Source organism: Homo sapiens, chromosome 1 (assembly GCF_000001405.40).
Source record: "Homo sapiens chromosome 1, GRCh38.p14 Primary Assembly".
Taxonomy (NCBI): domain Eukaryota; kingdom Metazoa; phylum Chordata; class Mammalia; order Primates; family Hominidae; genus Homo; species Homo sapiens.
The window spans coordinates 236,098,661-236,124,850 of NC_000001.11; the positions used below are offsets into that span (position 1 = coordinate 236,098,661).

The window sequence follows — 26,190 nt, forward strand, 5'->3', positions numbered from 1 at the left end:
GGCTACCATAGTATCTAAAGAAAAGGACTCTGAGGCAGGCAGCCTGCCTGGGTTCAAATCCTGCCTCCCCCACTTATTCACTGTGCAATCTTGGGCAAGTTACCTAACCTCTGCCTCAGTTTCCTCATTTGTGATGGTTGTTGTAAGGATCAAGTTATTGCACGTAAAGTACTTAAAACAACTCCTGGCCCATTAAGCACAAGAGACCTGTGTTTTGTTCTTGTACTATCTTCCTCTTCATCATTATGTACCTATAAATTAACTAACCTGGATGTTACTGGCATTTCAAGATTTCCTTGCACAGTGCTAAAAGTCACTGTTCAAATTGTGCTCACAATCTGTGCACTCTTATCAGAATATGGGCAAGAAGTTGGACAGAGTTGCCCTACTAGAGAAAGTGGGTATATAGAGAGCATCTTTTACATATTTGCATTGGGGCTGTCTTTCATCACAATGGGAGCAGAATTTGACAGGCAGTAGGGTGGATGAGGTGCAGCTCCACACTAACCAGCTGAGCCATGTGAGCAAATATTGAGCACATCAACCCCATTCATCATCAGGCTTTTTTTTTTTTTTTTTTTTGAGACAGAGTCTCACTCTATTGTCCAGGCTGGAGTGCAGTGGCACTATCTCAGCTCACTGCAGCTTCTACTTCCTGCTTTCAAGTGATTCTCGTGCCTCAGCCTCTCAAGTAGCTGGGAATACAGGTGCACACCACCATGCCCGGCTAATGTTTTTGTATTTTCAGTAGAGACAGGGTTTCATCATGTTGGACAGGCTGGTCTTGAACTCCTGACCTCTGGTGATCCACCCGCCTTGGCCTCCTAAAGTGCTGGGATTACAGGCATGAGCCACCGAGCCCAGCCATCAGGCTCCCTCTAACACGTGTTTACATTTAATCATTCGATTTGCATAAATCTAGCTTCTTGCCTGCCCTAGACATGTGTGGCTTTGTTGCAAAGCTAGACATGCTTTAAAATTAATTTGAAATGCATGTAACTTTTGCTATCCCAAAGATGGTAATATAGCTGCATAGCATTCCTAGAGACCTCCAACACTTCCTTCCTTCCCGAACAGAGCATTTAACTCTCTTCTCAAACTACCGACTGTCTGGGGCGGTGTGCCATGATGCCCCGGGGGAAGCTCCGTGGATCTGGAAGGCAACTCGGGACATCTGGTCTGGCCAGCCCACCCACGTAATGCATTCAGCAGACCTGCCCCCTACACAGAGGGCTGAGCCTCTGAGCTCCCACAGGCTCTACCTTATAAGCAAAGACTGAAGAGTCTTTGTTCATAAGGAAGAGAGAAGAAAGAAAAGAAGCAATTAAACAGAATTGCAGGAGCTCCTAGAGTCTGTCAGTTTCTTCAGAGCCACGCCAGGGTCTCACCTATCTTTGTAGGCTGCTCAGTAGAAGTGAGGCACCCAGTGGGTGCTGGCTGAGGTCTCCTCTCCCTCGGCAGGGTCCCTTCTGATGGCCTCCCTCCTCCATCTGCAACAATCCCCCGCACCCCTGTGGGCTTCCTTCTTCCCACCACCTCTGCATGCTGGGCCCTCTGGGTTCTGTCTTCTTCCTATTGGAAGCTCCCTTTCCAAATGACCTCCTGTCCTCTGCTGGCCCAGACCTCCCCTTATGTGCTGTGAATCCCCCATCTCCAACTCCAGCCCAGTCTCTCTTCTCAACATGCAGTGGCCGCTTCCATCCATGTCCCCCAGGCATCCTAAATTCAGCACTTCCAAAACTGGAATTCACAGGTTTCCCAAATGCACTTGCACGCCTGGGTTCCTCATCCAGCCCAAGACACCACCTTTCCCCGACTCGCTCTGTCTAAAACCCGAGTCTTCTTCGACTTCCTTCCCTCTTTCCCTCGTGCCTAACGATAGTAATAGTATTGCTCATATGCATTGAGTACATCCAGTGTGCTAGACAGCATACGAATCCCCAGCAGTTTCCTTTGATACACCTACTACATGAGGCAGGTACTATTATCAACAGCATTTTATGGATGAGGAAGTGGGGTGCAGAGAGCTGGCTCGAGGGGGCAGAGCTGGTGGAGAGCTGGACTGAGACTGGGATCTGTTTGATTCCAGAGCTTGAGCCTTTTGCACCACTCTGCTCCATCTTTGACCGCCACACACCCTAAAAACAAAACAAAACCCAAAACACTCCACCACTGAACAATTTTGGTGACCACCGTCCCACCTCTGGGAGGGCTGGGAGTCCCCAGAAAACACAGAAGTAGCTCCCAGGCCCGTAATTCACCCCAACATTTTTGGTTCTAGAAACCTGGCAAAGCAGCCACATTGGCCCAAGCCAGCGACACCGCGCGGCCCCGCGCTTCCCACAGCCCTGGGCCCGGCAAGGCTGAAATCAAGTCTAGAAGATGGCAAGGTGGGAAGGAACGCTCCTCTTTCATCTTGCTTCAGAGAAAACCTTCGCCAGTCTCAGCATCATCAGTACACACGTGGCCTGCTCTTCAGCGGATCTCACCAGTAACACCTTCTGGCATTTGGGCTAGAGACCGGGCCCCTGAGGCCGCCCTGGGAAGCCTGAGGTGTGGAGGGGGATTCAGGATGTGCCTCTGTTCCTGTATGTGCAAGTGTGAGTATGAGTGTGTGTGTGAATGTGGAGGTGGGTGAGTGCATGAATGTGTGTGTGTGAATTTGAGTGTCATGTGGGTGTCTCTGTATGCATGTGTGTGTGTACATGGTGTCTTTGTATGCATGTGTGTGTGTGGGTGTTGTGTGTATGTGTACGTGTGTGCATGTGTATGTAAATGTAATTCTGTGGGTGTGTGTGAGTATATGTGTCAGAGTGTCATGTGGGTACATGGGAGTGTTGTGTGGGTGTGAGTGTGTGAGTGCTATGTGAGTGTGTGGTGTGTGTGTTTGTGTGTTATGTAGGTGTGTTTGTGGGTGTTGTATGTGTGAAGGTGGCCGTGTATGTGGGTGAGTGTTATGTGGGGGTGAGTATGTGTACGCGTGGGTGAGTGTGGGTGAGTGTTGTGTTATGTGGGTGTGAGTGTGCATGAGTGTGTGAGTGCTATGTGTGTGGTGTGAGTGTGTTTGTGTGAGAGTGTTATGTGGGTGTCTGTGGGTGTTGCGTGTGTGAATGTGGATGTGCATGTGGGTGAGTGTTACGTGGGTGTGTGTGTGGTGTGAGTGTATGTGTGAGTGTTATGTGGGTGTTTGTGGGTGTTGTGTGCGTGAATGTGGATGTGCATGTGGGTGAGTGTTATGTGGGTGTATGTGTATGCGTGGGTGAGTGTGGTGAGTGTTGTGTCAGTGTGAGTGTCCATGAGTGTGTGGTGTGTGTGAGTGCTATGTGAGTGTGTGTGTGGGGTCTGAGTGTGTGTGAGAGTGTTATGTGGGTGTTGTGTGTGTGAATGTGGCTGTGCATGTGTGTTATGTGGGTGTATGTGTATGCGTGGGTGAGTGTGGGGAGTGTGAGTGTGCATGAGTGTGCATGAGTGTGTGGGCACAGAATTTATCTGATCCCAAACCATTTTCACACCTACTCTCCCATTCGGAGGCCCATTAAAGGCCCCCCAAGCACTCCCCTGTCCCTCCCGCCTGTGGAAGGGCCGCTCCTGCTCTGAGGTCTTCTAGCACAGCCCATCTTGCACAGTGGCCATTTCCTGCTTGCATGGTAGTTATTTGTACCATTGTCTCTGCTCCTTCTAACTGGACGTCTCCTGAGGACAACACAGCGTCCGGTCTGTCGTTGTCTTCCCGAAGCCACCAGCACACAGTAGGTGCTCAACAAATAGCTGGTGAAGGCTGGGCACGGTGGCTCACACCTGTAATCCCAGCACTTTGGGAGGCCAAGATACGAGGATTCCTTAAGCCCAGGAGTTCGAGACCAGCCTGGTCAACATAGCGAAGCCCCGTCTCTGTTTAAAATGTATATAACTGGTGAACTCGTATCAACCCACCCCCCAGCTCAGTGTTCTCCACAGAGTCCTTGGGGGTGTTTTCTCTCCCCTACATTTCTGCTTTCAGCCCCAGAAACACCTGCCCCGGCAGCCTGGGGTGGGTGGGTGGGACAGCAGCTCCCTGCAGGCTTTGGTGAGGGTGGCCCCACCCGGAACTCCACATGAGGTCAACCTCCCTGGTCTGCAAGTCATCACAGAGAGGCTGAGAACCTGGCTGAGGCACTGGAGGGGCCGTGCGCGGTGACGGGACGCGCTCAGCCTTCTAGGGGCCTCAGTTTCCCCTCTTGGCACTAGGAGCAGCACCTTCCCACCCACTTCACAGGCCGTTGCAAGATGATAGCGGCGGCAGCTTTTGAAAAGCTCTGAATGATATCAGACAACAAATCACAGCACTGAAAAAACAGGTCTAGTGCTTTCGGTGTGAGAAAAGGTTATTTTTCAGTGTGCTGAAATACTGTACGGCAATTAAGTTGCTGAAGATGGATTTGAATGAACTAAAACTTAAACGTGGCAGAGAGAAAGCAGCCTGAGGCATGGCTGACTCTGCTCTTTGGTGTGGAAATGAAGCCCAGCGGCCTGGGGCTTGGCCTTTGTAGATCAGCCTCCGAAGGTGAAGCTGGAATGAGGGAAGGCATCTGCCCCCAACACCAGGTGTCTGAGGCTCTGGCCCCACCCCACAAAAGGGAGACACTCTCCAGCAAAGCTGCCGCTAAGCAGGGGCTCGGCGGTGACTGCAGCTGGTGCATCTTTTCTTGTTTCCGTTTTGCTGTGGTCACTTGATTTTAGAAGTTGCTGGAGGTACCTGTCCACCCCCTCCTCAGACAAGGGGCTGGGTTGGTTTGCAGGTAGAATCACTTTCCCTTTTCTCTGGACTTGATTTTCAGGCCAGTGGACTTGCGCAGCCTTTGTTTTGGCTGTTGTCCCTTCTCTAGTCCTTGCTATGTTGCTGAATATTAGCACAGTATTTGTAAGGGAGGGTGGGTTGGAGTAGAATGAAAATTCAACCATTTTTGCCTGACAGCAGATTTGATAGAAGTTTTAGTAGAGGAGAAGTTAGAATTTAACTCATGATTCATTAAATATATGTTTTCTATATTTCTTCTTATAAGAGATTTTCGACATCAATCATGTATCAAAGAACAGAATATACATACAATTTCCATTTTGTCAGTTTTATCCAATTCATCCACATCATGCAGAAACAGAAGTTTCCAGTAGATGGCGCCAAAGTCTGTCTTTTCTCCGCCTCCCTGCGCGCTCTTCGTTGTTTCAAGATCCGCACATCAACCAACCCTCCAGAAAATGACATTTCTTTATCAGCGCAGACCAGCACGAGGTGCTCTCCACAGCAGAAAATCCCAGTAAGATGTCTGGCAAGAAAAATAGCCCCAAGAGTTGTAGCCCTGGGCAGTAAAACCAGAAGCCAGGAATCCTGGTTTCCAAACAGTTGATGGGTTTTGTGCCAGTTCAGTTTTGAAGCAACGGCCCTGCGGTACTGAGGGTCAGAGCCGTCTCCCATCTGCTCCCTCTCTTCCTCCCACTGGCCCCCATGGAAGCAGCTGCCCAAGCTTCTTGAGAAGGTGAGTGCCGGAACTCCAGGACAGGAAGAAGACTCTAAGCTTGGTCTTAAAAGACCACAAAGCGGCCTGGCGCGGTGGCTCACGCCTGTAATTCCAACACTTTGGGAGGCCGAGGCGGGCTGATCACGAGGTCAGGAGATCGAGATCGTCCTGGCTAACACGGTGAAACCTCGTCTCTACTAAAAATACAAAAAATTAGCCGGGCGTGGTTGCAGGCGCCTGTAGTCCCAGCTACTCGGGAGGCTGAGGCAGGAGAATGGCCTGAACCCGGGAGGTGGAGCTTGCAGTGAGCTTGCTGGATCACTCCAGCCTGGGCGACAGAGCGAGCCTCCATCTCAAAAACAAACAAACAAAAAACACCACAAAGCATGAGATCCAACAGCCTGGGCAACATGGCGAGGCCTTGTCTCTAGAACAAAATTTTAAATTAAAAAAATTAGCCAGACATAGTGGTGTGCTTGAGCCGTAGAGGTCAAAGCTGCAGTGAGCTGTGATTATGCCACTGCATTCCAGCCTGGGCAATAGAGTAAGACCCTGTCTCAACAAACAAACAAACAAAAAGCCAAACAAACAAAACCCCACGAGATCCTAAGGTTCCCATGGCCTTTCTTCTTGCACTGGGCCCATGACTCTGCCTCAGGCTGTGACCGGGACATGAATGGAGAGGAAGGAAAGGGAAATGGTAAAGGGGGCAGGATTGTCTCCAAGTACTTCCCCAGGTCCAGGGGAAGAGGGCTGGCAGGTGAGGAAACCAGAGAATGGGAAACCCAGGCTGAACCCTGATGTTGAGCCCGAACGCTGATGCACTGCCGTCTGTGTGCATAGCACAGTGAAAACTGCAAAGAGATGTGGTTCCTGGCCTCCAGGAATTAACGATCAGGTGGAAAGAAAGTTCATTCCACCCAGGGATGCGTTGGAGCCAGCTAGCACCTTTGAGCTGATTGTGCACGTCTCTACACAATGACACCATGACGTTGTGTCAGTAGTTTCAAATCCGCCATGTGGCAGTATTCACACCAGAGAAATCAGCGAACTCCACAAATCAGGGCTCCCTCCACTCCCCCAGAGCTGAACTTTAAACATTTACCTGCATGCTGGTGACTCTGCCTCACTATAGCACAAACTGCTTAAATAAAGGTGGGGCGGGACATTTGGTCACAGTCGGGAAGCAGTTGAAAGTGTCATGGGTTTGAGTCTAAGGTCAAGCTCTTCCGCTGATTGACTATCTGACCCTGATTATCTCCACCTCAGCCTCTGCCTCTCTTTAATGAGACTGATGCTATCTACCCTAGTTAGTTACAGAGTGGCTGGGAGGCTTAAATGAGATCGGTCTGTGTGGATACTATGTAAATTATAATGGATTTTATCAAGGTAATAGATGCAGCTTTAAAACATTCATAAAATTATGAGAATGAGGCCTACCAAATCCCAGTTTCATAAGGATACATATGATAATGCATATTTGTTTGATTTCCCATTTATTTAATAACACTTATTGACACTACCCATATGCTAGACGCTGCTAGTTGGGCAGTCTTAAGAGAAGATGTAAAAACACTTTGTAGATTACAAAGCTTTTTTTTTTTTTTTTTTTTTTTTTGAGATGGAGTCTCACTCTGTCGCCCAGGCTGGAATGCAGAGGCGTGATCTTGGCTCACTGCAACCTCTGTCTCCAGGGTTCAAGTGATTCTCCTGCCTCAGCCTCCCAAGTAGCTGGGACTACAGGCATGCATCACCACACCCAGCTAATTTTTGTAGTTTTAGTAGAGATGGGGTTTCGCCGTGTTGGCCAGGCTGGTCTCCAACTCCTGACCTCAAATGATCCGCCTGCCTGGGCCTCGCAAAGTGCTGGGATTACAGGTGTGAGCCACTGCACCCGGCTGATTACAAAGTTGTTTTTTTTTTTTGGTTTTTTTTTTTTGAGATGGAGTCTTGCTCTGTCACCCAGGCTGGGTGGAGTGCACTGGCGCAATCTCGGCTCACTGCAAGCTCCGCCTCCTGGGTTCATGCCATTCTCCTGCGTCAGCCTCCCGAGTAGCTAGCTGGGACTACGGGCGCCCACCACCACGCCCGGCTAATTTTTTTTGCATTTTTAGTAGAGACGGGGTTTCACCGTGGTCTCGATCTCCTGACCTCGTGACCCGCCCGCCTCGGCCTCCCATACAAAGCTTTTATACAAGTCTTTTGTAAAGTAGAAGGCATCATGCAAGGAAAAATGTTGTTTTTCTCAGCTTTCTTCATCTTTTCCAATCTGGACACACATTTTCACTGCAACTAATATTATACCGATACTTTCATTAGACTAAAATACCTGGCAGCGGTCACAGACAATGGTGTGGAAAGGAAACCAAGACAAGAAAACATCCTTGCAATATTTGGCTGAGGCAGGAGAATGGCGTGAACCCGGGGGGCGGAGCCTGCAGTGACCCGAGATGGCGCTACTGCACTCCAGCCTGGGCGACAGAGCGAGACTCCATCTCAAAAAAAAAAAAAAAGGCCATAATAAAATTTATACAAAATTATTTCTATGTATGCCTATATGAATAGGGAAGAATATACATAAAGATATTCACAGTGGCTATCTCTAGGTGGTAAGATTATTTTAATTAGCCTTTCTTGCTCATATGTAATTTTTATTTTCTCTACAAAAATTGGCTACGAAATTTTGGAGATAAAAACTGAGAAGTAAAAGATCTTCATGCAGCTATTTATTTTGTAGAATTACAAATATGGATATGAAAGGAGCCTTACAGGTCATCTGGTTTCATAAGATGGGGAAACTGAGGCTGAGGGAGATGGGAAGGAAATAACTGAGGACTTTGAGTTTTCTCTGAATTTGCATTCTCTTTTTTCTCTCCAAATGTGTGTGCGGAGCTTTTGATAATTAATCTAAACCTGTATACTCTACAATGAGATTCTCATCTTTCATTATCTTTCTGACTTTTTGATGTATCTGCTTCCTCTGGTATGGTCATTTGTCTTTGCCTTGTTTCTAATTTTTTTTTTTTTTTTTAACATTCAACTGACTGCTTGGTTTCTCTTTTCTTTGAAAGACTCTTGATGTAAATAAGCCCTTTATCCCTATCTGGCCTCTTTAATTATATCTTCTCACGTTTGCTTTCTGCTCTCTACCGACTAATTTCTCAGAAATTTGCAAGGGTGAATCACAATGCCTCCAAGCCATGATTCCCAGAATCAGAAAATTGCTTTTTAAATTTGAGGTAGACTGAAACGTTTTTCATCCACGTATAGTATATGATCGAATACACCAGCCTTTGCTTTCTGGACCTCAGCGTTTACATCTGCCAGGTGGATGTTTTCCCAGCTTGCATGATGACTGCTTCTTGTTGAAAGCATCTTGGAAAATCTGAAGCCCTTTCCACCTCAACAGCACAGGCTGGGCTGGTGTGCTGGGCTCATCCCTGTAATTCCAGCTGTTTGGGGGACAAAGGCAGGAGGATTACTTGAGTCCAGGAGTTCAAGACCAGACTGGGCAACACAGTGAGACCCTATCTGTGTTAAAAATAAATTAGTCGGGCATGGTGGTACATGGCTGTAATTTCAGCTACTTATGAGGCGGAAAGATTGCTTGAGCCCAGAAGTTCGAAGCTGCAGTGAGCTATGATCATGGCACTGCACTCCAGCCTGGGCAACAGAGTGAGATCCTGTCTCAAAGCAAACAAAAACAGCATGAGGCTGGGTACAGTGGCTCATGCCTGTAATCCCAGCACTTTGGGAAGCCGAGGGGGGGCAGATCACTTGAGGCCAGGAGTTCGAGACCAACCTGGCCAACATGGTAAAACCCTATTTCTACTAAAAAATACAAAAATTAGCCATGTGTGGTGGCACATGCCTATAATCCCAGCTACTCGGGAGGCTGAGGCATGAGAATCACTTGAGCCTGGGAGGCGGAGGTTGCAGTGAGCCGAGATCATGCCACTGCACTTCAGCCTGGGCAACAGAGTGAGACTCTGTCTCAAAAACAAAAAACAAAACAAAACCAAAACAGCACCAGATACTTGACTGCTAGATTGCACATGAGCAAATGGATTTGGGGCTAGAGATTGCGAAAGAAGCCTAAGCCACCTTCCAAGATGTGAAGTGTTGGGCTGCACACAGGGAAAGTCCAGAGAGGCAGGGTGAAACATCAGAACAAGTGACTTTGACTCCTGTTTTTGTTGAAGCCTCTCTGTGACACACAGTTATCCAGCTTGGAACATCTCTGGGTATAGTTTGGCTCCTTATCTGTGGCCTCTTCGAAAAGTGTCAATCATGAGGGTTGAAACACCCGCCTACATACACACACACTTAGTGAATGAATTGACACAAGCCTCCAGATTCTTTTTTGAGAGTAGAATAGCACTCACTGTCCAATAGAAATATGATGCAGGCCCCAAAGCTGAGCCATATATGCAATTTAAAGTTTTTAGCAGCTTCTTTTTTTCTTTTTTTTTGAGACGGAGTTTTGCTCTGTCGCCCAAGCTGGAGTGCAGCAGCACGATCTCAGCCGATCTCAGCTCACTGCAATCTCCGCCTCTTGCACCCAAGCGATTCTCCTGCCTGAGCCTCCCAAGTAGCTGGAATGACAAGTGTGCACCACCATGCCCTGCTAATTTTTGTATTTTTAGTAGAGACAGAGTGTTGCCATGTTGGCCAGGCAGGTCTCGAACTCCTGACCTCAGGTAATCACCCCGCCTCGGCTCCCAAAGTGCTGGGATTACAGGCATGAACCACTGCATCTGGCCATTAGCAGCCTCATTTAAAAAGGTAAAAAGAAATATGACAATAATTATAATAACATAATCAATATTTTAAATGATTGTTGAGGGCTGGGCACGGTGGCTCACGCCTGTAATCCCAACACTTTGGGAGGCCGAGGCGGGTGGATCACCTGAGGTCAGGAGTTCAAGACCAGCCCGACCAACATGGAGAAACCCCATCTCCCCTAAAAATGCAAAATTAGCTGGTCGTGGTGGTGCATGCCTGTAATCCCAGCTGCTCAGGAGGCTGAGGCAGGAGAATCGCTTGAACCTGGGAGACAGAGGTTGTGGTGAGCCGGGATTGCGCCATTGCACTCCAGCCTGGGCAACAAGAGTGAAAGTCCATTTCAGAAAAAAAAAAAAATTGTTGGAGTATTTTACATTCTTTTGCACCTACTAAGTCTTCAAAACCCAGTATGCCTTTTACACTGAGGGCGCGTCTCCATTCCAACTAGCCACAGCTGAAGTGGTCAGCAGCCACATGGGGCTGGCGGCCTGCAGGCCGGACAGCACCAGTCCAGGTGTATCCAGCGAGTTGCTGAGGATGGCAGGATGGAAAGGAGGAGTGTGAAATCGTGCCTGGAATGTCCAAGCGGATTTAATCTTATTGGTTAAAGATGTCCACTAGGTGGCGATATATGCAAGGAATGAAAATTTACTATGTGGCTGACATTGTTAATATATGCAATTATTTGTAGATATAATTCAGTATTTCCATCATCCCTGCAAGATGAGTAACAGGATGTTCACTTTGCGGATGAGGAAAATGAACCTTAAGCAACCTAGGCGTCTGGTGAAAGGGTTTCCAGCCAGCAACCGGAGGAGGCAGGAATCATGCCAGGTGTGTCTGGTGCCGGAGCCCAGAGGCTTCCCAGATCCGCACACTTCATGCTCACTCATCTGCCAGCCACACAGAGGTCCTGGATGTCTGGTGGGCGATGAGCAAGCGACAGAGAGTCCGTGTGATGAGGTTGCTCAGGCTGATGTGACAACAGTGAGAAGAGGCGTCTCATCTCATCCCTAACCAGACGGGGTTAGGGATGGCGTCTTGGAGCAGCCAACCGGAGAGATTGACATCGCTGATAAAGAGGTAGATTCACACGACCTCATCTTTGTCAGTGCACAAAATGGCTCCCTACAGCCCACTGGTGACCCGGCTGCAGAAAGCTCTGGGTGTGCGGCAATACCATGTGGCCTCAGTCCTGTGCCAACGGGCCAAGATGGCGATGAGCCACTTTGAGCCCAATGAGTACATCCACTATGACCTGCTAGAGAAGAACATTAACATTGTTTGCAAACGACTGAACTGGCCTCTGACCCTCTTGGAGAAGATCGTGTATGGACACCTGGATGACCCGGCCAGCCAGGAAATCGAGCAGGGCAAGACACCTGTGGCTGTGGCCGGACCACGTGGCCATGCTGCAGTTCATCAGCAGTGGGCTGCCCAAGGTGGCCATGCCGTCCACCATCCACTGTGACCATCTGAAAGAGGCCCAGCTCGGAGGCGAGAAAGACCTGCGCCAGGCCAAGGACATCAACCAGGAAGTTTATAATTTCCTGGCAACTGCAGGTGCCAAATATGGCGTGGACTGCTGGAGGCTTGGATCTGGAATCATTCATTAGATTATTCTGGAAAACTATGCATACCTTAGGGTTCTTCTGATTGGCACTGACTCCCACACCCCCAGTGGTGGCGGCCTGGGGGGAATCTGCATTGGAGTTGGGGGTGCCGATGCTGTGGACATCATGGCTGAGATCCCCTAGGAGATGAAGTGCCCCAAGGTGATTGGCATGAAGCTAACAGGCTCCCTCTCCAATTGGACCTCACCCTAAGACGTGATCCTGAAGGTGTGGCAGGCATCCTCAAAGTGAAAGGTGGCACAGGTGCAATCGTGGAATACCACAGGCCTGGCGTAGACTCCATCTCCTGTGCTGGCATGGCGACAATCTGCAACATGGGCGCAGAAATTGGGGCCACCACTTCCGTGTTCCCTTACAACCACAGGATGAGGAGGTACCTAAGCAAGACGGCCGGACAGACATTGCCAATCTAGCTGATGAATTCCAGGATCACTTGGTGCCTGACCCTGGCTGCCATTATGACCAACTAATTGAAATTAACCTCAGTGAGCTGAAGCCGCACATCAATGGGCCCTTCACCCCCGACCAGGCTCACCCTGTGGCAGAAGTGGGCAAGGTGGCAGAGAAGGAAGGATGGCCTCTGGACATCCGAGTAGGTCTGACTGGTACCTGCAACAGTTAAAGCTATGAAGATCCCGGGCGCTCAGCAGCTGTGGCCAAGCAGGCACTGGCCCATGACTTCAAGTGCAAGTCCCACTTCACCATCACTCCAGGCTCCGAGCAGATCCACGCCACCATTGAGCGGGACAGCTACGCACAGATTTTGAGGAATGTGGGTGGCATCGTCCTGGCCAATGCTTGTGGCCCCTGCATTGGCCGCTGGGACACGAAGGACATCAAGAAGGGGAAGAAGTACACAATCGTCACCTCCTACAACAGGAACTTCACGGGCTGCAATGATGCGAACCCTGAGACCCATGTCTTCGTCACGTCCCCAGAGATTGTCACAGCCCTGGCCATTGTGGGAATCCTCAAGTTCAACCCAGAGACCAACTACCTGATGGGCAAAGATAGGAAGAAGTTCAAGCTAGAGGCTCTGGATGCAGACGACCTTCCCCAAGAGGAGTTTGACCCAGGGCAGGACCCCTACCAGCACCCCCCACAGGACAGCAGTGGCCAGCACGTGGATGTGAGCCCCACTAGCCAGCGCCTGCAGCTCCTGGAGGCTTTTGACAAGTGGGATAGCAAGGACCTGGAGGACCCGCAGATACTCATCAAGGTCAAAGGGAAGTGTACTACTGACCACATCTCGGCTGCTGGCCCCTGGCTCAAGTTTTGTGGGCACTTGGACAACATCTCCAACAACCTGCTCACTGGTGCCATCAACATTGAAAACAGCCAGGCCAACTCCGTGTGCAGTGCCAACATTGAAAACACCCAGGAGTTTGGCCCCGTCCCTGACACTGCCCGCTACTACAAGAAACATGGCATCAGGTGGGTGGTGATCGGGGACGAGAACTCGAGCCGGGAGCACGCAGTGCTGGAGCCTCCCCACCTCTGGGGCCAGGCCATCATCACCAAGAGCTTTGCCAGGATCCACAAGACCAACCCGAAGAAGCAGGGCCTGCTGCCCCTGACTTTTGCTGACCCAGGCGACTACAACAAGGTTCACCCTGTGGACAAGCTGACTATTCAGGGCCTGAAGGACTTCGCCCCTGACAAGCCCCTGAAGTGCATCATCAAGCACCCCAATGGGACCCAGGAGACCATCCTCCTGAACCACACCTTCAATGAGATGCGGATCAAGTGGTTCTGTGCCGGCAGTGCCCTCAACAGAATGAAGGAGCTGCAGCAGTGAGGGCAGTGCCTCCCAACACACCCCCAACCTCGCCCCCCAGAGCTGGCGTCATGTTCAAGTTCAGCTCCACATGCGCCATCAGCAGATCCGATCCATCCAGCCATGGGTTCTGATTCCAAGATGGTGTGACCAGACATGCTTCCTGCTCCCCGCTCAGCCCACAGAGTGACTGTGGTTGGGGGAGGTTCTTAAAATAACTTTTTAGCCCCTGCCTTCCTATTTTTAGTGTTTGGTTCCAATCTTAAGCAGCTCCATGCAACTGTATTTATTTTTATTGACAAGACTCCCATCTAAAGTTTTTCCCCTGCCTGACCATTTTATTGGTGGCTGAAGGATTCTAGAGAACCTGTTGTTCTTGTAAGGAAAACAAGAAGCCAAAAAAAAAAAAAAAATTAAAACGGCAGATTCAGCAAGCTGCTGTGGGGAGGTGTTAAGGGCAGCTGTTTGGGGGATCGCACATAACACCACATGGCTAGAATAGGGTCCAGGGTCCAGGGTATGCTGTGGGGTGAACATGTGGGGTGAGAGCAGTAGACATGTCTGCAGTGGGCACAGCACCGAGGGTATTCTACCTCCAGAGCAGTGGGATTTAAGCAGGTGATTGATATGAAGAGTTTTACTACTTAGAGGGCTCCAGACCCCAGATGCAGAGCGTTGAGCAAATGAGGCACCCTTTGCAAATTTGAATGACAAGTTTAACCACACGCAGTTACCCTGCAGCGTAGGACCTGTCCTAGCCAACAGAACAGAGCAAGAGTTCTGGAAGGTGTTTGATGTTTGCACCATATGCTGCGGAGTCCCACAAATCTAAACTCAAGCTCTGGCTTTGCCATTCACTAGTACCATAACTTCCGGCAACCCTTAATTTCTGTATCATAAAGTAGGAATAATGCTGGGATCAGTGGGTTGAGCTGCTGTGAGGATTAAATGAAGCATTGCTTGCAAGGTCATGTTACCAAAGCAGTCCCACAGTGGAGTGTTCAGGACCACGAGTGGATGGCGGCACCAGACTCTGAAATTCTCCTCCGGTCCCCTCCTGTGTCGCACGTACGTCAGCACGTGGCCGGGCGTGGATACCTGCCTCATGAGCCACGTGTTCATTCAGGAACTATTCCGACCTTACACACCAGGCCCTGGGCAGGGAAAGATGCTGCCTTCATGGAGCTGATAGCCTGGTCGGGGAGATAAATGGTAGTTAAATGACACAATGAATATATAAATAGAACCATGACAAGTGTTTCAGAGGGGAACCCTGTGTTCTAATTGGGGAGGTAGAGAAATGCTTGCTTGGTGTGTTAGTTTCCCAGCACTGTCATGACAAAGTACCACAAACTGAGGGGCTTGAAACAACAGGATTTTATTCTCACAGTTCTGGAGGCTGGAAGATCGAGATTGAGGTTAGGCAGGGCCGTGCACCCTCTGGAGGCCCTGGGGGAGGCTCCTTCCCGGCCCTTTCCCAGCATCTGGCATTGCTGGCAGCCCTTGGGATTCCTTGGCTTGTAGATGTGTCACTCCAGTCTCTGCCTTTGGTGTCACAGGAACTTCTCCCCTCTATCTCTGTCTGTGTCCAAACATATCTTTCCTTTATACAAACACCAGTCATTGGATGTAGGGTTCCTACTCCAGCATGACCTCATCTTACCTTGATTATATCTGCAAAGACCCCATTTCCAAATAAGGTCACTTTCACAGCTACAGCGGGGGGCAGGGTTGGGACTTCAAAATATCTTTTGGGGGAACACAAAAGATATATTGATATATATATTTCCCCTACATCATTTGGGGAAGTGATATTTGAGCCAAGATCTGCAGCTTGAGAAAATCTTATCCAGTCAAAGAGGTCAGGAAGCAGGTTCTGGGCAGGATGTGGCCTGTGCAAAGGCCCTGGGGCAGGAGGGAGCACAGCACCTACAAGGGACTGAGCAAGGGCAGAGGAAGGGATGGGCTTTGGGCACTGATTATCTTTAGGAGTGAAAGAGTTGCTAGGTATTATTATTGTTGTTTCTATATAAAGGATCACACAGGACAGGTCTCAGTGCCCCGTCCTGATGTGCTGTCCAAGCTGCTCAATCTGTTTTCCTGCTGTATGCCTCACACCCAGTTCTTTTCCCATCACGTATCATTCAGAGCAATGTGCAACCGCAAATATTTCTAAATGGGGAGAACTCAGGCAGATGGCGCGGCATGCCTTCAGCTCAGTGCACAGACTCTGCCCCAGACAACCCACCTGTGTGTCCACATTCCCCACTGACTGAGCACCTCCTGAGGGTGGGGGGCATATCATGTTAATATTTGTACATCCAACATTTCATGAAATGTTATGAACATCAGAGGAGTTTTATAAGTGTTTGCTAAATGTTACTGACTTAGATTTTCAGGGTGTGGCCAATTCCATCCGAAGGGCGTTATTTATCTTGTCACTAACCGTATCCTAGAGAAGTTATTAAGCATCCGTCTAATTCAAAGGAAAATGGGTAGATGGTGGGAGGATTAGAGAGTGGACGCCATGTTGGAATGCAGGGGTAGGGGAAAGCCAGCTTGCTAATCAGAATGTCAGTGAAGGCTGGGAGCTGGGGCTCACGCCTGTTACCCCAGCACTTTGGGAGGCTGAGGCGGGAGGATCAGTTGAAGCCAGGACTAGCCTGGGGGAACACAATGAGACTGTGTCTCTACAAAAAAAAAAAAAAAATTAAATACATTAACCAGGTGTGGTGGCACATGCCTGTAATCCCAGCACTTTGGGAAGCTAAGGTGGGCAGATTGCTTGAGCCCAGGAGTTCAAGACCAACCTGGGCAATATGACAAAACCCCATCTCTACAAAAAATATAAAAATTAGCCAGGTATGATGGTGCACACCTGCAGCCCAAGTTACTCAGGAAGGTGAGGTGGGAAGATCACCTGAGCCCAGTGAGGTCGAGGCTACAGTGAGCCGTGATGGTGCCACTGCACTCCATTCTGGGTGTCAAAGTGAGATCATGTCTCTAAATAAATAAATAAATAATTGTTCTATAGAATTTTATTGATTTAAGAAAATGTTCAGAATAGATTTATAAGTAAAAAATTTAAAAGGTATATATACATAGGCCGGGTGTGGTGGCTCACTTTGGGAGGCCTTTGGGAGGCCAAGGTACGTGGATCACCTGAGATCGGGAGTTTGAGACCAGTCTAACCAACATGGAGAAACCCCGTCTCTACTAAAAATACAAAAATTAGCCAGGTGTGGTGGTGGGTGCCTGTAATCCCAGCTACTCGGGAGGCTGAGGCAGGAGAATCACTTGAACCTGGGAGATGGAGGTTGCAGTGAGCCAAGATTGTGCCATTGCATTCCAGCCTGGGCAACAAGAGCAGAACTCCATCTCAGAGAAAAAAAAAAAAGGCATATATACGTGTGTGTTGATTTGTGTATAGAATAAGACATGCATTTAAAAAAAAAAAGGTAGGATTGCAAGTGGGGTTTTTTCTTTTTCTTTTCTTTTTCTTTCTTTTTTTTTTTTTTTGGAGACGGAGTTTCGCTCTTGTTTCCCCGGCTGGAGTGCAATGGCGTGATCTTGGCTCAGCACAACCACCGCCTCTTGGGTTCAAGCGATTCTCCTGCCTCGGCCTCCCAAGTAGCTGGGATTACAGGCATGTGCCACCAGGTCTGGTTAATTTTTGTATTTTTAGTTGAGACGGGGTTTCTCCATGTTGGTCAGGCTGGTCTCGAACTCCCAACCTTAGGTGATCTGCCCACCTTGGCCTCCCAAAGTGCTAGGATTACAGGTGTGAGCCACCGCACCCAGCTCCGGTTTTTTTCTGTTTCTGAATTTTCCTATGTGTGCTGCATGGAACCATTATAATTAATTTTAAAAAGCAAATATATTTCATTTGTCTCTTGAAAACTTAAAACAACTCTTTATAAGAATTTTACATGTGCAAGATGGTATACTATATAGTCATTTACAATAATGTTTTAAAAGAATATTCCATAATATGAGAAAATATTCATGCTATATTTAGTGGAAGGAATAGGTTATGTAAAATATACTGTTTTTGTTTGTTTGTTTGTTTGAGATGGAGTTTTGCTCTTGTTGCCCAGGCTGGAGTGCAATGGTGTCATCTCGGCTCTCTGCAACCTCTGCTTCCCAGGTTCAAGCGATTCTTCTGCCTCAGCCTCCTGAGTAGCTGGGATTACAGGCATGCACTACCACACCTGGCTAATGTTTTGTATTTAGTAGAGATGGGGTTTCACCATATTGGTCAGGCTGGTCTCGAAGTCCTGACCTCAGGTGATCCACCCACCTCAGCCTCCCTAAGTGCTGGGATTGCAGGCATAATCCACCACACTTGGCCAATATACCATAATTTTTAAAAGGGCATTTACAGAAAGACTATCAGTAAGTCTGGTATAATACATATAAACTGTGGGGTTACCAGGAATGCATATCTGCTTCTTTATACTTTTCTGTATTTTCCAGATTTTTAATTATGAATATGAATATGAGTATGAAGCTATAATAAGAAAAGTTATTTGAAAGTCACATTATCAAATTGTTCAGGTTATCATGGCCAGGCAGGGTGGCTCATGCCTGTAATCCCAACACTTTTCGAGGCCGAGGTGGGCAAATCGCTTGAGCCCAGGGGCTCGATACCAGCCTGAGCAACATGGCAAAACCTTGTCTCTACAAAAACTATAAAAATTAGCCAGATATGATGGTGCACACCTGTGATTCCAGCTACTAGGGAGGCTGCAGTGGGAGGATTGCTTGAGCCCAGGAGGCAGAGTTTGCAGTGAGTCATGATTTCACCACTGCACTCCAGCCTGGGCAAAAGAGCAGGACCCTGTCTCCAGAAAGAAAAAAAAAAGTGTCAAGTTGAGAGACAATGGTTATTTTTTATTTTTGAGATGGAGTCTCGCTCTGTCACTCAGGCTGGAGTGCAGTGGCACCATCTCGGCTCACTGCAACCTCCATCTCCCGGGTTCAAGTGATTCTTCTGCTTCAGCCTCCCGAGTAGCTGGGACTTCAGGCACGAGCCACCTCGTCCGGGTAATTTTTGTATTTTTAGTAGAGACGGGGTTTCACCATATTGGCCAGGCTGGTCTCAAACTCCTAGACCTCATGATCCGCCCACCTCGGCCTCCCAAAGTGCTGGGATTACAGGTGTGAGCCATTGCGCCTGGCCAACAATGATTATTTTTAATTTTATTCCATGGTTTTCTATATTTTCCAAATTCTTCTCAATAACATAAAAATGATTTCATATTGTATTAATTACTACAATGCAACATTGTAAGGTCGGGGGACGCTGATGGTAGTCTACCTCCTGATCCTCTAGTATGCAGTATTTCACCCAGGGTTTTCACAAGCAGTTTCTCATTTGGTCCTCAGAGGACCCTATACCTAGGTGAGGATGGCGGTGCTGCTTCTGAGAAGTCGCTGCCTCCCCTTCTCCCTTTAGCCTCCCTGGCAAAATAAGACACTTCGATTGCGGGGCCACAGTCAGTTCTGACTCTGATATCTTACGACACCTATCAGGGATCAGCCTGGACCTGTTACCTGAGCGGGGTGTGGCCTCCTTTCCTCTGCGCTTTCCCCACACCTGAAACTCCTGATCATTCAGCCCCTTACCTCTCCCAAGCTTTCAGCACGAGCTCTCCTTCTTAGCCTTCTAAATAAATAAACAACACCTGCACAGAACACTGCCATTTTCTGTAAGCTTTTCTTCCCCTTTAAAAATTGCAGTAAAATATACATAAGACAAAATGTATCATTTAAATCATTTTAAGTGTACAATTCAGTGGGGTGATATACATAAGGCAAAATGTATTATTTAAATCATTTTAAGTGTAAAATCCAGTGCCTTTAAGTCCCTTCACGATGTCGTTGCAACTGTCACCACCATCCAGCTCCGGAACTTCTTAATCATCCGTGGGTAAGCTTTTGAAGCTTTTGAATCCATAGTCTCATAACATTTTATTGCCGTCCTCATCGTCAGGTGAGGAAACTGAGGCTTTCTTCCTTACCTTGCTTTTGTGTTTTCTCTTTAACACTTGCACTCTGGCTTTTGCCCGTGGCTGTCCTGGAACTGACTCCCTTCAGGCTGTCAAAGGCCTCCTGGGGGCTGAGTTTCATGGGCTGCTTCCTGGTCTTGTCTTGTTTCTGGTCTGCAGCATTTGACAATCTTGTTTTCCAATCTCTCTTAGAAATTATCTCCTCCCCAGGTTTCCATAATACTCTCTGTCTTGAGTTTCCTACTACTAATTCTTGGGTGTTTTCTTGTCCTTTTCTTTTCATGTTTTTCTGTTTGATTGTTTTGTTTCTTTTTGTTGTTTTGAGACGGAGTCTCGCTCTGTTTCCTAGGCTGGACAGCAGTTGCTTTATCCTAGAACTTATGATGTAGCTGCCTGTGTGCCCATCTGTCTCCACAACAGAGCAAGGTCCTGGAAGCAGAGGTCGGGGGCGTGGGGGAGGTCTTGCTTGTCCTCTTTATGTCTCAGTGCTTAGTGTACCTTATATTTGGACAATGAATAAATAAATGTGCGCTGCTCTAGAAAAGAGATCATTGTCTCAATGGAGTGAAAATCAGTAAGGGGTAGGTCTCGGCTCACTGCAACCTCCACCTCCCTGGTTCAAGTAATTCTCCTGCCTCAGTCTCCCGAGTAGCTGGGATTACAAGCGCTCACCAACCCGCCAGGCTAAATTTTTGTATTTTTAGTAAGAGATGGGGTTTCACCACATTGGCCAGGCTGGCCTTGAACTCCTGACCTCAGTTGATCTGCGGGCCTCGGCCTCCCAAAGTGCTGGGATTACAGGCGTAAGCCACTGTGCCTGGCCCCTTTTCATGTTTTTATGTTTTGAGACGGAGTCTCGCTCTGTCACCCAGGCTGGAGTGCAATGGCGTGATCTCGGCTCACTGCAACCTCCACCTCCCTGGCTCAAGCGATTTTCCTGCCTCAGCCTCTCAAGTAGCTGGGATTACAGGCGTGAGCTACCACCCGGCCTCTTTTCATGTTTTTAAATTAGTCTCCCCTTTTTATTTTATTTTATTTTTTAGATAGAGACAGGGTCTCGCTATGTTGCCCAGGCTGGTCTCGAACTCCTGGACTCAAGCAGGTTCTTTTCTTCAGGCTTCTCCTTCTCCTGCCTCAGGAACTCATCCTCACTCCCTGCAACGTTTCAATAAGCACTTGCCTGGTTTGCCTGCCTCTGGCCTTGCTAATTAGACAACTACGATCTTTCTACCAGGAAAGTGTGATCCTGCCCTCAAGTCTACAAGGGCGGCCTGAGCTGACATGATAACATCTAACCTCTTTAGTTAGATATAGGATGTCCCTTGTCATCTGGCCCCTGGTGACCTCTAACAATATCCCCATCCCACTCCACCCCTTTACAGTCTGCAGTAGAACCGTCTGCAGTCCCAGTGCTGGAAGCCCAGGCTGCCTCATGCCTCCCTGTCTCTGCATACATGGTCGCTTTATCCTAGAACATATGATGTAGTTGCCCGTGTGCCCATCTGTCTCCACAACAGAGCAAGGTCCTGGAAGCAGGGGTAGGGGCGTCGGGGAGGTCTTGCTTGTCCTCTTTATGTCTCAGTGCTTAGTGTACCTTATATTTGGACAATGAATAAATAAATGTGCGCTGCTCTAGAAAAGAGATCATTGTCTCGATGGAGTGAAAATCAGTAAGGGGCAGAGTAAGGACTGGACATCAGGTCTTGGAAAGTTCTGACCCTTCCCACTATGTAAACATCCTTTCTACTGAGGGACCTCACGGGGTGACAAAGCCTTAGAGGAAATGTACGCAGTCTCTGCATGGTCCTAAGAAAATAAAGGAAATAAAGTAAGTGTTGTAATCCTGGACTGGAGTAGAAAGACTTCTTAGGGGGAGGCATTTTAAGGAGGGTGGAGAGGGGGATGCTTCCCGCCTCCGGATCACAGTCTACGAGAGCTTGCTGCTTTAGATGAGCCCACACCAGACCGAGACACAGGCAGAGCGGTGCGGCTGAAAGACATCTCTGCATCAGAAAACTTGAGTCCTGGTTTTTTCTACATCTGCCGCTGACTAGCAGATCTCAGAAGGCCCAGCAGCCTTCAGGTGTAAAACAAAGGAGTATTTTCCATCTCTTTCAACCCGAAAATCCAGAAAGTGGGGACATCTGTGTTTGAAGATTGTTCAACATTTTTCAGATTAAACTGATCCACATTTTCCAAGGTATCAAAGTGGTGGCTGCATCCTCTCATGGTGCTGGGAATCACAGACTTCTCCCCTCACCCTTGATTGTGACCTGATTCTAGAAGACGGTTGCTGATAGAAATGTCCAAGTTATTCAAGGGGCTTCTCTAGAGGAAACAACTTCCATTTCACTCTTGATTCTCTAGAGGAAATATAACTTTCGTTTCACTCTTGATTCTCGAGAGGAAACAACTTCTGTTTCACTCTTGATTTTCACTATTTTCACGTTACGGGTTGAGATAAATGGCCTTAGATTTGACTCATCGAGGAGAGAGCGATTCTGCCTAGAGTTCTTTGAAAGCCGGCTGTACTGAGTGAGATCCTAGGTCACTGCAGAGAAGGAAAGGGAAGAGAAGTGGGGAGGGAGAGGGGAACAGAGAGGGGCACGGAGAGGGACAGGGAGATTGGTTTCCTTTGACAAACCCAGCTGGTTTCCTCGGTAGTTGTGTGTGGTTTCCACCAAACCCACCTATCACTTAGTTAGGACTGCTAATTAGGGGGCAGAGATGAGGACTGCTGTCTGTAGTCGTAAAGATGGTTACTAAGCAGGAGGCTGAGCTGGTGGTTGCAGCTGACACTGGAAATTCACCCAGCTTCGCCCCCCGGGAGATGTGCCACCCCTACATCGTAGGCAGCTGTGGGCCACAGGCATTTCGTTCTCCAAAATCCTACATTCATCTTACTTCATTTAATGTTTGCAGCCACATAAGAAGTAGAAAACATAACTTGATTTCCAGATTAGAAGACTGAAGTTTGGACAGAAAAAATAACTTGCCCAGTGTCACCCAGCGGGCACACGGAGGAGCTGGGATTCAACATCAATGACTCCAGGACCATGGTCTGTCTCCACGAGACTAGTCTACCCACCTCGATTCTCTGCCTGGTAGGCCTTCCCCACTTTTCCACCTGCTAAATCAATCACACCTGGTTGCATCTCTCCTTCTTTCCTCCCCTAACCCAAGACTCTTTTTTGTTGTTGTTGTTTTGGAGATGGAGTTTGCTGTTGTTGCCCAGGCTGGAGTGCAGCGGCACGACCTCGGCTCACCACAGCCTCTGCCTCCCGGGTTCAAGCGATTCTCCTGCCTCAGCCTCCCGAGTAGCTGGGATTACAGGCACGCGCCACCATGCCCAGCTAATTTTTGTATTATTAGTAGAGATGGGGTTTCACCATGTTGCCCAGGGTGGTCTTGAACTCCTGACCTCAGGTGATCCACCCGCCTCAGCCTCCCAAAATGCTGGGATTACAGGCGTGAGCCACCATGCCCGGCCATATCCCATGACTCTCTAAAGCACTCTGTGGTTGTTTCTGGGTTATTTTCACTTCTCCAATTAGGAGGTAAGTTTTTTGGGGTCAAAGAGCATGTTTTCGACTTTGTTTTCATCCTATCCCAAATTGCCTGGTACCAAGCTTGGTAGCTGATGAGCCAACAGGGAACCCACGAATGACATTGTATTAGAAGACCACAGGCTTTGGGCTCAAGGAATGACCCTTCCCTTTTACAGTCCTGTCCACACCTCAACAGCCCTCTCGTAGCTCGGTGGATCTCAGCTGAATGTCAATGAGCCAGAGCTTCCCCTGACCACCCAAGCCCAAGTGTTGTCCCTGGCTATTCCTCCTCGTAGCATCTCTTTTTCCTCTTCATCGGACTTACTACAACGTGTACTCATAGGCTCATTTGAGTATCTACCTTATTTTCTCCACTAAAATGTGAACCCCAAGAGGCCAGGGACCATGGGCATTTTGACTCAAAACATATTCTTTGAATGACTTTAACAGAAACTTCCATCAACTTCTCAAAGGGCCAACCACATACGCAGTGAAGAGGGTTTCAAATGATGAATCAGGGACTTTTCCCTGTGTTCAGGCGTGAACCCCGACTCACCATGGGGTCGTATCCACATGCTCTCTCTTGACCTCAGTTCTTTACTTGCAAAGTAAGGATCATGGTTCTAGTCCCATTTACTCTCATAGGCTCTTGCCTGGAGAAAGTGAAATCATTTTAGCCTTGCTGTGTTGTTAAAGCCAAGGCCTAATGCCAACGTGACTAGTTATAAGCCCCTTGAGGAGGGGCTCATGTCTGACAAACACTCTGTCTCTCTGTCCCTCTCAACATAATTTTTGTGAACAGGCCAAGTAGATAAACAACTCAAAAAAATAAAAATATACAAAATGCATACAGTGACAACGTTCCCTTGCTCCTCTGTCCACACCTCCCCAGGTCCCACCCTTAACCATTACTATTGGTTTTATTCATAGCATTCCAGAGTTTATTTTTTTTTTTTATTTTATTTTACTTTATTTTCTGAGATGGAGTCTTGCTCTGTTGCCCAGGCTGGAGTGCAGTGGCCCTATCTCGGCTCACTGCAAACTCTGCCTCCCGGATTCCAGCAATTCTCCTGCCTAAGCCTGTCGAGTAGCTGGGACTACAGGCGCCCGCCACTATGCCTGGCTAATTTTTGTATTTTTAGTAGAGACGGGGTTTTGCCACGTTAGCCAGACTGGTCTCGAACTCCTGACCTTGGGTGATCCACCCGCCTCGGCCTCCCAAACTGCTGGGATTACAGACGTGAGCCACTGCGCCTGGCTGCCATTTTAAAATATACAATTAAACCATTATGGACCACAGTCCTCAGTGTGTGATCAAATACTCAGTATTATTCACTCTTTCTATTTTCCAGAGTTTCTATATCTGCCTACAAGTAACCATGAAAGCACTTCCCCTACAGGATCATGTCTTACCCTTGCAAGCTTTCCAACTGTCTTGCTCCATGCCCAACACCAGGTAAATCTTTAGTAAATTCAGTACATTTAGTAAATCTGTTGGTGGATTTGATTAACTAATGATCTTGAAACCAACACATTGGACAAGCAACAAGGTGAGTTTGCAATGTGTGTTACAGACGGATGAAAGCACACGCTGAACAGGGCCTACTCCAGTGAACCATCATCTGCCTGCATCTTTCCTGTTCCAGTCCAAGACCAATCCGGATACTTGGGCCTTGTTTTGTTTTGCTCTTCCTGGGAAGTGTCAGTTCATTGGTCGTTACAAGGATAATAGGAGTTACTTCCTGACTGCATGAAAAGTACATAGAACAGAGCCTGGCACAGAGAGAGAAGCCAATGAGCAGCAGGAATGATGATCACAGGCAATCTTCCCTTCCGCCACCACTCACCTCAGATGACCTGGTGAGCCTTGTGTCACAGGCTGGGTACTTCCCCCGGAATTCACATGTTGAAGCTCTAACCCGCAGTACCCAGAATGTGACTGTATTTGGAGAGAGGGCCTTCTCTCCAAATAGAAGGAGGTAATTAAGGTAAAATGAGGCCATTAGTGTGGGTCCTAATCGGATATGACTGGTCCTGATGAGAAGTGGAGATTAGGATACTGACACACACAGAGGGAAGCCCATGTGAGGACCCAGGGGAGGGAGGCTGTCTGTGACCAAGGAGAGTGGCATCAGGAGAAACCAGCCCTGCCAACGCCTTGGCCTCCAACTTTCAGCTTCCAGAACTGGAGATTTGTGTCATTCAAGCCTCCCAGTCTGTGGCACTTTGTCATGGCAGCTCAAGCCGACTAGCACACCTTGCCTAGCCCTGCTTTTCTCAAATATGTTCAACTAGAGAAGTTGTCTTGATTGTTTAGAGCCAAGCCCTGTGCTGCTACAAGGGCATAGGCTGAACCAACCACCTGTCAAGGAGTTTCCATGCAGAAGGGGGTGAAGGAGGCTTCACCCTAAGGTGAGCCCCTTGACCCTCTCCCCAGGAATTCTCCAGCTATGCCTGGGGATGGAAGCTGCCTTCCTGACTACTCTTCTGTTGTTGTTAAGCGCTGGGGTCTCACCCTGTCACCCAGGTTGGAGTGCAATGGTACCATTACAGCTCACTGCAGCCTCGAATTCCTGAGCTCAAGTGATCCTCCTGCCTAAGCCTCCTGATTAACTGGGACTGGAGGTGCACATTACCATGCTAGCTAATTTTTTTGATCTTTTGCAGAGATGAAGGTCTTGCTATGTTGCCCAGGATGGTATCAGATTCCCGACCTCAAGCAATCCTCCCACCTCAGCCTCACAAAGTGCTGGGATTACAGGTATGAGCCACAGACCTGTTCCCCTGGCAGGTCTTTGAAAATGCACGCAGGGCTGCAGCAGCCACAGCCCTGCCAGAGAGAGAAGCCCCCATTTGGGGGTTGTGGGGAAGCAGGCATCTGCCAGAGATTCCACGTGGTTCTGGCACGTCTCAGGCCAGCCTGGGCTTTAATTCCTTGGC

The 26,190-nt window shown here is 48.4% G+C and overlaps 1 pseudogene, besides 20 other annotated features; it reads left to right on the plus strand.

Moving 5' to 3' along the window:
* The first annotated feature begins 12,159 nt into the window (after positions 1–12,159).
* ACO2P2 (ACO2 pseudogene 2) lies at positions 12,160–13,909 on the plus strand (annotated as a pseudogene).
* Positions 15,954–20,697: a meiotic recombination region, noted in NCBI's record as "this region was identified as a recombination hotspot within the HapMap YRI population". NCBI's record gives the evidence for it as "EXISTENCE:nucleotide sequencing assay evidence [ECO:0000219][PMID:20981099]".
* Positions 15,954–23,548: a biological region, named in NCBI's record as "meiotic recombination hotspot MSTM1".
* Positions 17,440–17,452: a nucleotide motif, noted in NCBI's record as "nucleotide motif; similarity to the predicted 13-mer PRDM9 A binding motif (LD hotspot motif), CCNCCNTNNCCNC".
* Positions 19,011–19,023: a nucleotide motif, noted in NCBI's record as "nucleotide motif; similarity, but not exact identity (7/8 nucleotides), to the predicted 13-mer PRDM9 A binding motif (LD hotspot motif), CCNCCNTNNCCNC". NCBI's record gives the evidence for it as "COORDINATES:motif similarity evidence [ECO:0000028][PMID:20818382, PMID:19165926]".
* Positions 19,297–20,496: a meiotic recombination region, noted in NCBI's record as "MSMT1a hotspot, crossovers mapped in sperm cells of males of European and African ancestries; recombination frequencies vary with PRDM9 genotypes, with some individuals showing little activity at this hotspot". NCBI's record gives the evidence for it as "EXISTENCE:DNA detection assay evidence [ECO:0005519][PMID:20818382, PMID:16543360]".
* Positions 19,689–19,701: a nucleotide motif, noted in NCBI's record as "nucleotide motif; similarity, but not exact identity (7/8 nucleotides), to the predicted 13-mer PRDM9 A binding motif (LD hotspot motif), CCNCCNTNNCCNC". NCBI's record gives the evidence for it as "COORDINATES:motif similarity evidence [ECO:0000028][PMID:20818382, PMID:19165926]".
* Positions 20,089–20,890: a meiotic recombination region, noted in NCBI's record as "this region was identified as a recombination hotspot within the HapMap CEU population". NCBI's record gives the evidence for it as "EXISTENCE:nucleotide sequencing assay evidence [ECO:0000219][PMID:20981099]".
* Positions 20,147–20,159: a nucleotide motif, noted in NCBI's record as "nucleotide motif; similarity, but not exact identity (7/8 nucleotides), to the predicted 13-mer PRDM9 A binding motif (LD hotspot motif), CCNCCNTNNCCNC". NCBI's record gives the evidence for it as "COORDINATES:motif similarity evidence [ECO:0000028][PMID:20818382, PMID:19165926]".
* Positions 20,939–23,548: a meiotic recombination region, noted in NCBI's record as "MSMT1b hotspot, crossovers mapped in sperm cells of males of European and African ancestries; recombination frequencies vary amongst individuals, but is a hotspot in many individuals". NCBI's record gives the evidence for it as "EXISTENCE:DNA detection assay evidence [ECO:0005519][PMID:20818382, PMID:16543360]".
* Positions 21,593–21,605: a nucleotide motif, noted in NCBI's record as "nucleotide motif; similarity, but not exact identity (7/8 nucleotides), to the predicted 13-mer PRDM9 A binding motif (LD hotspot motif), CCNCCNTNNCCNC". NCBI's record gives the evidence for it as "COORDINATES:motif similarity evidence [ECO:0000028][PMID:20818382, PMID:19165926]".
* Positions 22,018–22,137: an enhancer, noted in NCBI's record as "active region_2813". NCBI's record gives its function as "activates an Ori minimal core promoter by ATAC-STARR-seq in GM12878 lymphoblastoid cells {active_cell/tissue: GM12878}" and the evidence as "EXISTENCE:reporter gene assay evidence [ECO:0000049][PMID:35858748]".
* Positions 22,269–22,284: a nucleotide motif, noted in NCBI's record as "nucleotide motif; similarity to the predicted 16-mer PRDM9 C-type binding motif, CCNCNNTNNNCNTNNC".
* Positions 22,279–22,291: a nucleotide motif, noted in NCBI's record as "nucleotide motif; similarity, but not exact identity (7/8 nucleotides), to the predicted 13-mer PRDM9 A binding motif (LD hotspot motif), CCNCCNTNNCCNC". NCBI's record gives the evidence for it as "COORDINATES:motif similarity evidence [ECO:0000028][PMID:20818382, PMID:19165926]".
* Positions 22,380–22,392: a nucleotide motif, noted in NCBI's record as "nucleotide motif; similarity, but not exact identity (7/8 nucleotides), to the predicted 13-mer PRDM9 A binding motif (LD hotspot motif), CCNCCNTNNCCNC". NCBI's record gives the evidence for it as "COORDINATES:motif similarity evidence [ECO:0000028][PMID:20818382, PMID:19165926]".
* Positions 22,513–22,525: a nucleotide motif, noted in NCBI's record as "nucleotide motif; similarity, but not exact identity (7/8 nucleotides), to the predicted 13-mer PRDM9 A binding motif (LD hotspot motif), CCNCCNTNNCCNC". NCBI's record gives the evidence for it as "COORDINATES:motif similarity evidence [ECO:0000028][PMID:20818382, PMID:19165926]".
* Positions 22,714–22,726: a nucleotide motif, noted in NCBI's record as "nucleotide motif; similarity, but not exact identity (7/8 nucleotides), to the predicted 13-mer PRDM9 A binding motif (LD hotspot motif), CCNCCNTNNCCNC". NCBI's record gives the evidence for it as "COORDINATES:motif similarity evidence [ECO:0000028][PMID:20818382, PMID:19165926]".
* Positions 22,817–22,829: a nucleotide motif, noted in NCBI's record as "nucleotide motif; similarity, but not exact identity (7/8 nucleotides), to the predicted 13-mer PRDM9 A binding motif (LD hotspot motif), CCNCCNTNNCCNC". NCBI's record gives the evidence for it as "COORDINATES:motif similarity evidence [ECO:0000028][PMID:20818382, PMID:19165926]".
* Positions 23,043–23,055: a nucleotide motif, noted in NCBI's record as "nucleotide motif; similarity, but not exact identity (7/8 nucleotides), to the predicted 13-mer PRDM9 A binding motif (LD hotspot motif), CCNCCNTNNCCNC". NCBI's record gives the evidence for it as "COORDINATES:motif similarity evidence [ECO:0000028][PMID:20818382, PMID:19165926]".
* Positions 23,138–23,150: a nucleotide motif, noted in NCBI's record as "nucleotide motif; similarity, but not exact identity (7/8 nucleotides), to the predicted 13-mer PRDM9 A binding motif (LD hotspot motif), CCNCCNTNNCCNC". NCBI's record gives the evidence for it as "COORDINATES:motif similarity evidence [ECO:0000028][PMID:20818382, PMID:19165926]".
* Positions 23,178–23,190: a nucleotide motif, noted in NCBI's record as "nucleotide motif; similarity, but not exact identity (7/8 nucleotides), to the predicted 13-mer PRDM9 A binding motif (LD hotspot motif), CCNCCNTNNCCNC". NCBI's record gives the evidence for it as "COORDINATES:motif similarity evidence [ECO:0000028][PMID:20818382, PMID:19165926]".